Below are 14,805 nucleotides of genomic sequence, written 5' to 3'. Positions count from 1 at the left end.
AAATTCTACGTTATGGGAGAGTGCTCACATTTTTTGAAAAATTCTCATTTATCCAACTTTATATACCAGTCTCCTAGATTCAGCATTTTTTAGTGGCAATTTCCAAGTCTTTACTCTTGCTCGTACATATACTGGAGTTATTTTAGGGTAGAGTCTGTTTCTTCCTCTAGAAAACCTGAAACAGCATCTCCTACCTTCAGCTCTAGCCTAAGAGGACAAGCCCTATTGAGCTATTCAATGAAGTTTCTGTCCTCCGTGGAGCGTTTCTCATTTCTGTAGTAGAAGGAGTGTGCTCTGGCCCTCTTGTGCATGTTAGTCAGCTTGTAGGTATTCTGGCCTTATGACATTTTTCTGAACAAATTATATTGCTACTTCATTCTAGGTATGGGTTTAAGGGTCAAGATGAAAGGTTAGGGTAAATACCTAGGGGTATAACATGTTGTCTGTTTAGGCAAAGGCCTCTGTTCCATCTTTGAGGAAGAAAGAATACTACTGTTAACTCACAGAATTGGGTCACTACTGTAATTCCAGAGGGTTCAAAGGGACTTAGAGTTTGAAAAGATTTGACTGTGATAATCTCAGTGCCTGTATTATTTCATTTTCATGCTGCTGATAAAGACATACACGAGACTGGGCAATTTACAAAAGAAAGAGGATTATTGGGCTTACATTCCACATGGCTGGGGAGGCCTCTCAATCATGGCAGAAAGCAAGAAGGAGCAAGTCGCATCTTACATGGATTGCAGCAGGCAAAGAGAGAGATTGTGCGAGAAACTTCCATTTTTAAAACCATCGGATCTCATGAGACCCATTCACTATCACAAGAACAGCACAGGAACAACCCACCCCTGTGATTCAATCATCTCTCACTAGGTCCCTCCCACAACACGTGGGAATTATGGGAGCTACAAAATGAGATTTGGGTGGAGACACAGAGCAAAATTCTATCATTCTGCCCATGGCCTCTCCCAAATCTCATATTGTCACATTTCAAAACTAATCATGCCTTCCCAGCAGTCCCCCAAGCTCACAACTTATTGCAGCATTAACTCAAAAGTCCACAGTCCAAAGTCTTATCTGAGACAAGGCAAGTCCCTTCCCCTTATCAGCTTGTAAAATCAAAAGAAAGTTAGTTACTTCCTAGATACAATGAGGGTACAGGCATTGGGTAAATGCAGTCATTCCAAATGGGAGAAATTGGCCAAAACAAAGGAGTTATAAGACCCATGCAAGTCCAAAATCCATCAGGGCAGTCAAATCTTAAAGCTCCAAAATGATCTCTTTTGACTCCGTGTCTTACACCCAGATCATACTGATACAGGAGGTGGGTCCCCATGGTCTTGGGCAGCTCCAGCCTTGTGGCTTTGCAGGGTACAGCCTCCCTCCCAGCTGCTTTCATGGGTTGGCATTGACTGTCTGCAGCTTTTCTAGGTGCACTGTGCAAGCTGTCCATGGATCTACCATTCTGGAGTCTGGAGGATGATGGCCTTCTCACAGCTTCACTAGGTGGTGCTCCAGTAGGGCCTCTGTGTGGGGCCTCCAACCCCATATTTCCCTTTTGCACTGCCCTAGCAGAGGTTCTACATGAGGACACTGCCCCTACTCTGAACTTCTGCCTGGGCATCCAGGCATTTCCATACATCTTCTGAAATACAGGAAGAGCTTCCCAAACTTCAATACTTGACTTCTGTGCACTCACAGGCTCAACACCACCTGGAAGCTGCCAAGACTTGGGGCTTGCACCCTCTGAAGCCATGGCCTGAACACTACATTGGTCCCTTTCAGCCATGGTGGGAGCAGCTGGGATGCAGGGCACCAAGTTTCCTCCTAGGCATCTGAACCTGTGATGATAGGGCCTGCTGCAAAGGATTCTGACATGCCCTGGAGACATTTTCCCCATTGTCCTGGTTATTAACATTCAGCTCCTCCTTACTTATGTAAATTTCTGCAGCTGGCTTGAATTTCTCCTCAGAAAATAGAATTTTCTTTTCTATTGCATTGTCAGGCTGCAAATTTTCCAAACTTTTATCCTCTGTTTCTTTTTTGAAACTGAATGCCTTTAACAGCACCCAAGTCACCTCTTGAATGCTTTGCTGCTTAAAAATTTTTCCACCAGATACCCTAAATCATCTCTCTCGAGTTCAAAGTTCCACAAATCTCTAGGGCAGGGACAAAATGCCACCAGTCTCCTTGTTGAAACATAACAAGAGTCACCTTTGCTCCAGTTCCCAACAAGTTCTTCATTTCCATCTGAGACCACCTCGGACTGGAACATCTATTAGCATTTTTGTCAAAACTGTTCAACAAGTCTCTAGGAAGTTCCAAACTTTCCCTCACTTTCCTATCTTCTGAGCCCTCCAAACTGTTCCCACTTCTGCCTGCTACCCAGTTCCAAAGCCGCTTCCACATTTTCAGACATCTTTTCAGCAATACTCCACTCTACTGGTACCAATTTACTATATTAACATGCTGCTGTTAAAGACATACCCAAGACTGGCCAATTTACAAAAGAGAGAGAGTTATTGGACTTAACAGCTCCACATGGCTGAAGAGGCCTCACAATCATAGCAGAAGGCAAGGAGGAGCAAGTCACATCTTATATGGATGGCAGCAGGCAAAGAGAGAAATCTTTTGCAGAGAAACTCCCGTTTTTAAAACCATCAGCTCACGTGAGACCCACTCGCTATTAGGAGAACAGCGTGGGAAAGACCTATCCCCTTGATTCAATCATCTCCCACCAGGTCCCTGTCAGAACATGTGAAAATTATGGAAGCTACAGGATGAGATTTGGGTGGGGACACAGAGCCAAATCGTATCAATGCCTCTATCAAAAATCTTAGGGTCCCATTGAATTCTAGTCAGGACTGTAATTTTAATTTATCATCTCCACTGCCCATAAAATAAAATATCAAACAAGATCTTTGGGGTTTCTCTGCACTCTGGCTGTTCTGCAGGAGATAATAATCTCCTTAACAAGCATCTAAGGAGGTAATGCCACCTTCACATTTTACTTTAAGTTGGTAATAATCACTCTCATTCTTTTATTGTCCTTCTCTAAAGTGTGTGTGTATGTCTTTCCCTCCAAAATAATCATCCAATTCCACAGTTCTTATACATACTTTTGTACTGCAACCCTCATAAATTTACCTGAGATATTATACCTGCCATTTCAATCATTTATGTTGGTATTCATGAAAAAATCCAGTTAATCATCAGTGAAAGCTGCAGCAATTTCACTTCTGCCTGCCAATGGCTATCAGCGTTCCCCCTACTAGGGAGGTGGTCTTCATTGTTAGCTGAGTGGCTGGCAATCTAGCTCCCAAATTCTATTTTTGAATCTGCCTCTTAGAATTCCTGGCACCAACTGTTGTAGGCTGGAGTCCTCAGGGATCAGAATCTGGGAATAGGATTATTCCAGTGTGCTTGTGAGAACAACACCCATGAGAGAGGGAGAGAAGCAGGATTGAAATGAGGAAGAATTTGAACTTAGATACAAAGGCAGCACAGGCTTCAGCAGATCCTACAGGGAACACTGAAGTTGGGATGGTTTTTCAGAGATGTTCTGCTTCCAATCATGGATGCAAGCTGCCCTCTAGGAATGGGGCATTGCTTGAAGAAGGCAGCTCCCTTTTGGCCAAGGGAGATTCTTAGGATGAACTGCCAGACTGCAGTTTTTCCAACAGCTGGGGGAATGAGTGTCTCAGTTTGTAAAGGATCATCTGTGCAGTGCACCACACCACCAACTGCAATTCCTGATCTCCTGAAGTTTATAGCATAGCAGAAAAAGCCTTATTTCTCTGGAGTTGGGAAACAAATTGTGAATTAATAAAGCAATATAGTGAAATGTATTATCATTGATGTTTTCAGCCAACACGATAATGATTTATTTGGATTCCCTAAAAATATACATACAAAATTTGTAATTCGTGGATAAAAAGTTTTCTTTTCTCCATTCACCTTTTTTTTTAAGGGATATTGTAGTAATATCAATTATTATGCCTTCAGGTTTAGGTAATAGACTAGCTAAAATGTAACTTCAATAATATAGTTATGTATGACTTCACTTAACAGTGAAGTGTGAGGTAAGCATGTTACAGAGTTCATTCAGAAACAGTCATGAAAACAGGGGACTAGGTTCTTCAATATTTCCACTCTGCCCCCAGTGACACCCTAAGCACGGCATCCTGGCAAAACTATTTCACAAATAGAAAGGAAAGGGGTGGGAGAGGAATGGCTTACCTTTGCTTTCTCCATTTATGTCAAAGATAAAACTTTTTCTAAGCCCCTTTTCCCCTTGACCAGAAATTGTTCATTTGATTACTCCTAGTATTGCAAAGAGGAATGAGATTATTACAGTTGACTTAGACCAAATACTTCACATTGCCTGATACAGAGCATGTTGTTCCCCAATCCAACTAAATTAGGACCTATGCATAAGAAAAACGGGGAATGGATGTTGAATAGGCAACTGATTTAGTTTGCTGCAGTTACTATAGAAGGATTAGGCTGATGTGTAAATCAGGATGTGGAAGATGAGATGTTCACATTTACAGAATGATAGAAGAGTGGGTGTTATTGTATTACATAAAATTATGTTAACTCACTCGGGATCAATTTTTTTAAAACATCAAAGAAAACAATGCTTTTGGAGAGTTTAAACAAACTCGATGTCTTGATGATCTTTTTATGGCATAACATTTATTCTTTTGCTTTAAATATACTCTTAAGCTTATTATCATTTAAATGTATAGTGTATCAGTATGTCAATTAGAAATGATGACAGGTAAATTTTCACTTCAGTATTGCTTTTCTACCTAAGTATTTAAAATGCTCTGTTTTTTTTTTTCAGAAAGGTGATGGAGTCTACGGTTTTTTACTAAGAGCATACAATTATTGGGCTTTATCTGTCTAACAACACACGCACACACAGTTTTACCATTGTCCTTTGATAGAAGTATAGCCTTCAGCTAGGGCATATATGTTTTAAGATAATTAATTACATTCCTGTGCTGCAAAATGATGTTTCAACATTCACAGTCAAAAAGTTAAAAAATAATAAAAAGTATAAATTAAAATAGATTATGCCAGGTTAATTTGTTTTTGAAGAAGGAAAAAGATTTTTTAAATAAATTCAGTGTAGCCTAAGCATTTATAAAGTTTGCAGGAATATATAGTAATGTCCTAGGACTTCATATTCACTCAGCACTCACTCAATGACTCACTTAGAGCAACTTCCAGTTCTGCAAGATTCATTCATGTAAGCACCCTATACAGGTGTACCATTTTTTTAATATTCTATACTGTATTTTTTACTGTGCCTGCTCTATGTTTACATATGTTTAGATACAAAAATACTTGCCATTGTGTTACAACTGTATTCAGTATAGTTTTCAGTATGGTAACACGCTGTATAGGTTTGTAGCCTAGGAGCAATATGCTGTAACATATATAGCCTCGGTGTGTAGTAGGCTATAGCATCTAGATTTCCATAGGCACGCTCTCTCTCCAGTGTTTACACAGGTTGAAACCTCCTAAAGGCACATTTCTCAGGCTGTATCCTCATCCCTAAACAATGCATGACTGGGCCGGGCGTGGTGGCTCATGCCTGTAATCTCAGCACTTTGTTAGGTGGAGGCAGGCGGATCACCTCAGGTCAGGAATTTGAGACTAGCTTGGCCAACATACTGAAACCCTGTCTCTAACTAAAAGTACAAAAATTAGCTGGGCGTGGTGGCGCACGCCTGTAATCCCAGCTACTCAGGAGACTGAGGCAGGAGAAACTTGAACCCGGGAGGCGGAGATTGCAGTGAGCCCAGATCGCACCATTGCACTCCAGCCTGGGCGACAAGAGAGAGACTCAGTCTCAACAACAACAAAAAACAATGCATGACTGTAGTTTCAGGTGTGTTCATCAATGAATGATTCTATTTGTTTTTGAAACTTTTCTCTCACCCTTTTGTCACAGCTCCCTGACATAGCTTAGATGTGCTTTCTATCAAAGGCTTGTAGCATTTGCCTTTCTTTCTTTTCTTTTCTTTTCTTTTTCTTTCTTTCCTTTTCTTTCTTTCTTTCTTTCTTTCTTTCTTTCTTTCTTTCTTTCTTTCTTTCTTTCTTTCTCTCTCTTTCTTTTCTTTCTGTCAGCATCCCATTTTGTCACAAAGGCTGGAGTGATCTGCTGCTCACTGCAATTTCAATCTCTTAGGCTTGAGTGGTCCTCAGGCCTCAGCCTCCTAAGTAGCTGGGGCCACAGGTGCACACCATCATGCCCGGTTAATTTTTTATTTTTTTTTAGAGACGGGGATCTCCTTATGTTGCCCAGACTGGTCTTGAACTCCTGAGTTCAAGTGATCCTCCTACCTTGGCCTATTTAAGTACTGGAATTACAGGCATGAGCCACCACACTTGGCCTGGTTTCTGTTTTCTAATAACTCTCCACAGTTTTCACATTGCTTCCTGTTCTTCCTCTTATTTCTTTGGCTCAAAGTCTTTGCTTCCATAATGAAAGCAACAGTCACTGGACTGTGACTGCAGGTTTCTCACCCATGGCCCTCTCTCACCTCAGGTTGCCAATCAAGCAGCCCAGACGTTCAAGTTCAAACTCTTTTACATTCTGATTTTAAGTTTTGTTTTTGTTTGTTTGTTTTTACATTTAATCCTTTTAATAAATAATATGAATCTTTAAAGATCAAATGGTCCATTTTACAGAGAGATTTGTCTTTCCCTGTTTTCTTTAAGAGAGATTTCCGTATATGTTTAAATTTCAGTCCCTCTCTGTTAAAATAAAAAATAATTGTCATTTGATAGTTTTTCCTTCTTCCCTTCCATGATAACTTTTCAAGACACTCTGAAATATTTTATTTTTAAAGCCATTGCTTAATAATTATATTTCATCTCACAATATTAAGATTTAAATGTGCATATGGATATATCACATATAACCTGAATACTTACTAATATGAATTTTTAAAGTTTAAAATATATCATGTTTTAATTCGCTCACTAGGTTATTTAACATTCATTCATGATGTGAATATTTAGAATACAAAGCAAAATTTAACATTAAGTGCAAATGAATGCAGAAGCTTCTCTTGTGTAGAATCTTCTATTAATATGCACCCTACCCAAGCAGCTTTTAATTTAAGTTTATGATATAATCAATTATTTCTATGAAGCCAGGATGTGGTTGCAACATCTTTAGCAATGTACTATTGCAAAGCATTATAATTATTTTCATTGGGACAAACTGATTCTGGATTGTTTTTCCTGCAGAGCAATGGAAATCATTGAAGAATTTTAAGCAAGAATAACTTAATCAGTTAAATTATTCCTGTGACCTGGTAGAGGATGGATCAGATAACACATGTGCTCATGGCAAGAAGAACAGTTAAGAAAGAACAGTGATCCAGCAATAGCTGGATAATCCAAAACTTAAGTACTGAGAGGTGCCTAAAACTTTCTTAAATTGTATAGTTTCAGAGAAAGATGAACAAATAGAGGGAATTCAACCATGATGTAGGAATAATTCAGTGGTTTGAGGGCAGCAAAAGATAGAGCTGATTAGCAGTATAAGCTCTGGAGTCAGATAATTTGGGTTGCCACCCAGCTCTAACCACTTACTAGGTCTGTGACCTTGAACAGGTTATCAACTCTCTATGCCTCTGTTTTTCTCTCTGTAAAATGAGGAAAATTAGAGTAGGTACATCATTAGCCACCCCTCATAAGGTGAAGATTAGATTAGATTAAGTCGTAAGTCCTTATAATAACATTGGGTAGAAAGCTTATCATTATTGGTTTAAACAAGAGTTTATTTCTCACTTTGCATCCTTTTTCATGAACTCTTTTACTGAAACAAATATGACAAAACACTTTGATGTCTTTTGCACTGAATCATATTTTCCTCAAGTTTCTGCAATTTCTCCTATTTTATATTCAAAGGCATATAAATTTTTTAAGTTATAAGTTCTGTTTATGAAAACTGATATATTATAAGATGTTACTACTAATTCTGAAAAATTGACCTCTAATCTTGAAAGGATAGATGTGTAGGTGAATAATTATGACACCCTTTAGGAGTATTTTGAAACTATTTGACATTGTACTAGCCATTTTCATCTTTTTCTTAATTATTATTGTTTTCTACAACAGGTGCTGGAGAGGATGTGGAGAAATAGGAACACTTTTACATTGTTGGTGGGACTGTAAACTAGTTCAACCATTGTGGAAGTCAGTGTGGCTATTCCTCAGGGATCTAGAACTAGAAATACCATTTGACCCAGCCATCCCATTACTGGGTATATACCCAAAAGATTATAAATCATGCTGCTATAAAGACACATGCACAGGTATGTTTATTGTGGCACTATTCACAATAGCAAAGACTTGAAACCAAACCAAATGTCCAACAATGATAGACTGGATTAAGAAAATGTGGCACATATACACCATGGAATACTATGCAGCCATAAAAAATGATGATTTCCTGTCCTTTGCAGGTTCATGGATGAAGCTGGAAACCGTCATTCTCAGCAAACTATCTCAAGGACAAAAAACCAAACACTGCATTTTCTCACTCATAGGTGGGAACTGAACAATGAGAACACATGGACACAGGAAGGGAAACATCACACACTGGGGCCTGTTGTGGGGTGGGGGGAAGGATAGCATTAGGAGATACACCTAATGCTAAATGACGAGTTAATGGGTGCAGCACACCAACATAGCACATGTATACGTATGTAACAAACCTGCACGTTGTGCACATGTACCCTAAAACTTAAAGTATAATAAAAAAATTATTATTGTTTTCTTCATTTTTAAGCATGTTTCAGTCATAGTTCTCAGCATTTAGTAACATGGCATTATTACATTGCATGTACAAATTTTCCTTTTATGAATGCATTTAATATCTATGGTTCTTTGAATTTAAATGTAGCTTGTGAGTTCTCCTTGAAGTATTATTTTAACCTGCTCTACAAAAAAACTATGTTTTAATAATTTCTCAGTCCACAATATTGGATAAAAACTTGTGTTGTTCTTTCTTTTTAATCTCTAGCATTTCTTTTATTTTTCTTAGATTTTAAAAATCTCTTTGCTTATATTCCCACCTGTTTTTGCATGTTGTTCACTTTTTTCATTAAAGACCCCAGCAAATTAATCATTGTTGTTTTAAATTCCCAGTCTGATGATTCCAACATTTCTGCCATATCTGAGTTGGGTTCTCCTGCTTGCTCTGTCTCTTCAAATTGTTATTTTTGTCTTTTAGTATGCCTTGTAATTTTTCGTTCAAAGCTGGACATGATGTACTGAGTAAAAGGAACTTCAGTACTTAGGCATGTAGTGGAGTGGTGGTAAGGCGTGGGGTGAAGGTAATGTTCTGAGGTCCTATGATTAGGTCTCAGTCTTTTAGTGAGCTGTGACCCTTGGCTGTAAACTTCCAAATTGCTTCATAGTCCTCTGCAGCTTTGTCCCATAGGTGGGACAGGATGGCTGTGGGGCTGAAGTGGGATACTTCCCTTCTCAAGGTTGGTAAGGCTTTGATAAAAAACAATACAATAATTTAGGCTCAAGTAAAATAAATTTTCCTGAGGGCAGACTTTGTTAAGAAAAACAGAATGTTCTGGCAAATTTCAAATTTCAAAAGTTTCCTTTTATCCTCCCCCTACAGGATGCATGACAGAATCTGTTAGAGTTCCTGGAAGTAAAAATCACAAAAGTGTGCTGCCCTCCCCCAACTCCCACCCTATGGGCCTTCCTGGATTTTTAAAATCTCAGAGTCAGTCCACAGTGAGCCTCCAGTAATTTGTCAGTTACAGTTCGGTTTCCCTATCCCTGCACTGGTTCTCATAGAGGTTTCTGTTCATCATTTTCTGCTTTGGTAAGTTGTGATTCTCTGTACCCCAACCCCACTTTGTGCCTTTCCAATCTGGGGGACAGTGGTTTGCTCTGTGGCCTCACTTCTCTGTTTATTTTTGAGTGATTTACTTGTTAGGATATAGTGATGAATTCCAAGAACCTTATATGCCTGACTGGAAACTGGAAGTCCATCCTTTTCTTTTTAATCGATTATGACGACTCATTTGGAGCTACTGCATCTAAATGGAGCTTGGATAATAAGGCAGAACTAAAGTTTGTTGAACTGAAAAATATAAAACCTGAAAGGCATTTGTCAGTTGATAATACAGAACACAAAAAGGTGAAGACACAAAGGATGTTGAAAGGAAAAAGGATTAAGAGTAAGAGGATATGTCAAGCATGCAAATTTGTTCATGTTAAAAATAATCATTATTTGTCAAGCTGTTTGTCTTGATCCATTACTGAGTCTTAGCATATATTTAGTGAATCTCTACAGCATTTAAACAATGTTCCATAATAGAAAAGAGGAGACAATATTAGAATGTATTGAATGTGATCAGTTTAAATATTATTTTGGAAACCTTTTACTTTTGTATAGTATACATTATATGTATGTGCTCTGTGTGTGTGTGCATGTATATATGTGTGTACTGATTCAGTATTTAAAAAGTATTTCTTATTTATAGGATGTGATTAAGAAAGTTTGAAGTCACTAGAATGCTACATAGTAAACATTTTTGCTTATTTAGCTTTCAGTTCGGAAATAGTTTAAGGCATTTATATCATGTACTATCAGAATTATAAATATGGAAGGAACATGACATGACCGACTTGTCTCTACAAATCCCTTTTGAAAAAGTTTAAAATGTGTTAACTAAAACTGTATAGAAAGTCTAAATGTGATTTAGATGATTAACAGTCTATGATAAAGGTATCCTAACAGCTATTATATTTAATTAGAAAATTAAAATACCTGGAAATCATCACTGTCACTATTACATAAACAAAAATTTAAGTTGGTAACAGAAGTAGGAATTAAACCAAAGACTTCTCATTTTTAGTTTCTGTTTTATTTAAGATTATAAATTATTATCAAATATTTAAGAATGTTTTAGAAATTCTCTTTAAAATCCAGGATATTATTAAAGCTCTGTGGAAAATTTGCATCATTTTCTACTAAAATATATAAGCCCTTATTTCTTTGTTTTTCTGGAACTTGAAACAATGTTATTAACTCTGCTGTAGTTGTGACTTTATAGATAAATTATTAATAAATAAGTATTATTATCAGAATGTTCTTGACTACATATTTCCAAATATTCTTATATTGAATTTGCAGGTTAATTTTATAATTCTTTAAAGGTTATTTATTTTGAGATATTTAATTGCAAAAAGTGTAAGAATTTGGCCTTTATCAAATGAGTCAAGAAAAAAGCCATATGGAGTTAATTATATAATATTTCTTTTATTTTAGTTTAGACAGTGACTCATGTCATGCAGTTTCAGTATTCCTTGGCAACGAAAGGATTGTGTTGGTTGGTCAAAATACCAATTTAACAAGAAGTCAGTGTAGAATGAAACACATTTTTGTCAAGATTTTCATTTTTCTAATGTACAATGAATAATGTCACCCATTAAAAGTTAATTTACTTTGTCAATTTAATGATCAAATATGTAATTATATTTGCAGGTCAATAGATCTGTATTGAGTTGGTAGTAGCACAGTTTGAAATAGCATGCACAAAAGACAAAACTAAATCCAGAAATAAGGACCAGCCTATGCCACTGTACTGGCTATATTCAGGCAGTTGCCTGTGCTACAGATGGAATGCAAAACAATAAAATTACAATTGCCAGTGCACATCTTGAAATAATAGGTTTCCTTATTAGTACCTTGCATCCAGCTGTGATGTCTGAAAGAAATTGAGCTTAGTTTCAAACTGGGCTGACTGAATACACGCACATATGACCTTTTGGTGTCTACAGCCAAGAGTGTTTGTAACTTCATAATAGCTTCTTATCCATAGTGTTTATTGATAAAATTGTATGAAGGCCTTTTAAAATGACATATAAAAACAGGTTTCCGTTTTAAATTTTTTTCCTCTTCATTTAGAATAGAAGTTAAAGCAGATTATTTGAGCTTACATTTTCTTGGAATTTTGAAGACAACTTAACTGATTTCTTTCTGCATTAGCGACAGGAGAATGGTGACAACTAAGTTTTGGAAGACTCAGACACTGTAACGCAATATTATCTGGCACTTTTTAAAAAAGATATTGCATAATTGATAGGATATATCAGAAGTTAACATGGATGTAGGAAGACTTTATTGGAACACAAATTAAAACAAAATAATAAATATATGACCTTGGAACTTTTCTCTAGAAAAAAAAAGTTTAAACAGTATTTCAACTTATAGTGATTGCTGGAAAGGTGAAACTTGCCTAAGAATCTTATGAGATTAATTGGTAAAATATGGTTTCAATGCTTGTTAATTCTTTGTGGTGTTAAGGAGTAAAGACATGTAATAGATGGCTTTTGATTAATGGAGAACTTTAATAAGGCTTTACAGAAATATAGATCAACCCAGAGTCCACATTTTGTTGGAGGGCATTGGGCAAACTGGAGTATTACGCATAATAAAGAATGAAAACTTTGTGTGTCATAAGCTAGTTTATCAGCTAGCTTTTGCTTTATGACACTCCAACATTTTAGAGGCTTAAAATGACCATGAAAGCTTACATTCTGCAAATTGGGTATTTGTATTGAATTCACATGGGCATTTTTCTCTGATCTAGGCCAAGTTTGACTGATCTTGCCTGAGCTTGCCTGAGTGTCTTTGGCTAGCTGATTTGTCATTTAGGACTGACTCGTTTATGGTGGCTTCAGTTAGGAAGGCTAGGAAGCCTGAGAGCCTAGACCCGTCTATTTGTATGAATGGTTTTAGAATTACTATAACAGCAATAAAGCAAGCCCCCATATGCAAGCTCTTAACCTTAACCTTTGATTGCTTCATGTTGCTAGTTTCCAAGAGATGTTATATTCTTATTCCCTTTTTAAAAAAATAGAAACTGAAGGGCAGAATACTTGTGTGATCTCCACATGATTATATCTCCATAGAACTGGGAGATGATGTACCTGTGAGATAAATACAAATAGATTTCCTGTTCATTGTAAACTCTTGATCATTAGACTTTATAAACTATGGGGGGGTGGTAATAAAAAATGAAGAATAAAAATGTAATGACAATAATTGGGTCATGGCTGATACAGATTTCTGTAATATTGTTGATACTTTAGAAGACAATCTTGGGAGAGGCCACGATGGCCCATTAGAACCAGCTGCAGTGAGTAGTTCTCACTAAGTGAAATGAAAACGGCAAGTGAATTCAGCACCTTCAACTGAAATATCCAGGCTGTCTCATTGGGACTGACTAGGTGGACAACTGGATCCATGGAGAATGAAGAAAAGCAGGATGGGATGACAGCCCACATGGGAGTGACATGGAGCCAAAGGAACCCCCAACCCTGGCCAAGGGAAATGGTGAGTGATTGTATGACACCAACCAGGAAAACACACTTCTCCCATGGTTCTTTGCAACCCTTGGATCACGAGATCCCCTTGTGAGCCCATGCCACCAGGGCCCTGGGTGCCATATACAGAGCTGTGTAGGGTCTCGGCAGAACAGCCACTCAGGTACACACAAAGTCAGCCACTCAGGCACACATACTCCATCCCTAGGAATCCCAGGAAGGTGGGAGATTCGTCCGTACCTTCCCCTAGGAAGAGGGCTGAATCCAGGGAGCCAAGCAGTGTCGTTCTGTGGGACCCACTTCCACGTCACCTCACAAATTAAGACCCACTGGCATGGAATTCCAGCCAGCCAGCAGCAACAGGCTGAAGACTGCCTGTGACAGGACCGAGTTCCTGTGGGGAAGGGGTGGCCACCATTGCTGTGGTTTGGTCGGCTCAGCTGTTCTAGCCTGCCGGCTCCAGGGAGTCCAGGCTGTTCAGATAAGGAGTCCCCCACAACACAGCACAACTGCTATACCAGATCATATCCTGACTGCTACTTTAAGAGGGACTCCGTTCCATTCCTCCTCACTGGGCAGGGCCTCCCTGCAGGAATTTCGGCACTCCAGCCAGGATTATATGGACAGAACTCTGATCTCTCCCTGGGATGGAGCCCCCAGGTGGAGGTGTGGCTGCTGTCTCTGTGGTTCAGTTGACTCAGCCATTCCAGCCAGCCAGCTCTGGAGAGTCCAGGTGGTCTGGACAAGGAGGGGCCCCCTACAACTCAGCACAGCTGCTCTACCAAAAAGCAGCCAGACTGCTTCTTTAAGTGGGTTCCTGGTCCTGTTCCTACTGACTGGGTGAGACCTCTCATCAGGGGTCTCCAGACACCTCTTACCGGAGCATTCAGGCTGGCAACATGTCAGTACACCCGTGGGACGGAGCACCCAGAGGAAGAAGCAGGCGGCCATCTTTGCTGTCTCACAGCCTTCATTGGTGATACCTCCAGGTACAGGAAAACTGAGGCAACTAGGGTCGGAGTGGATCCTTAGCAAACTGCAGCAGCCCTGTGGAAGAGTGGCTTGACTGTTAGAAAAACAAACAAACAGAAAACAACAACAACATCAACATTTAAATGCCAGCAACCTCAAAGATCAAAGGTAGGTAAGCCCACAAAGATGAGAAAGAATCAATGCAAATACACTGAAAACTCAAAAAGCCAGAGTGCCTCTTCTCCTCTAAATGACCGCAACACTTCTCCAGCAAGGTCACAGAACTAGGCTGAGGCTGAGATGGATGAATTAACAGAAGTAGGCTTCAGAAGGTGGGTAATAGCCAACTTCACTGAGCTACAGGAGCACGTTGCAACCCAAGGCAAAGATGCTAAGAATCCTAATAAATCAATACCACTGATAACCAGAATAGTCAGGGTAGACAGA

Source organism: Homo sapiens, chromosome 4, assembly GCF_000001405.40.
Source record: "Homo sapiens chromosome 4, GRCh38.p14 Primary Assembly".
NCBI lineage: Eukaryota > Metazoa > Chordata > Mammalia > Primates > Hominidae > Homo > Homo sapiens.
This window is presented reverse-complemented; position numbering follows the sequence as displayed.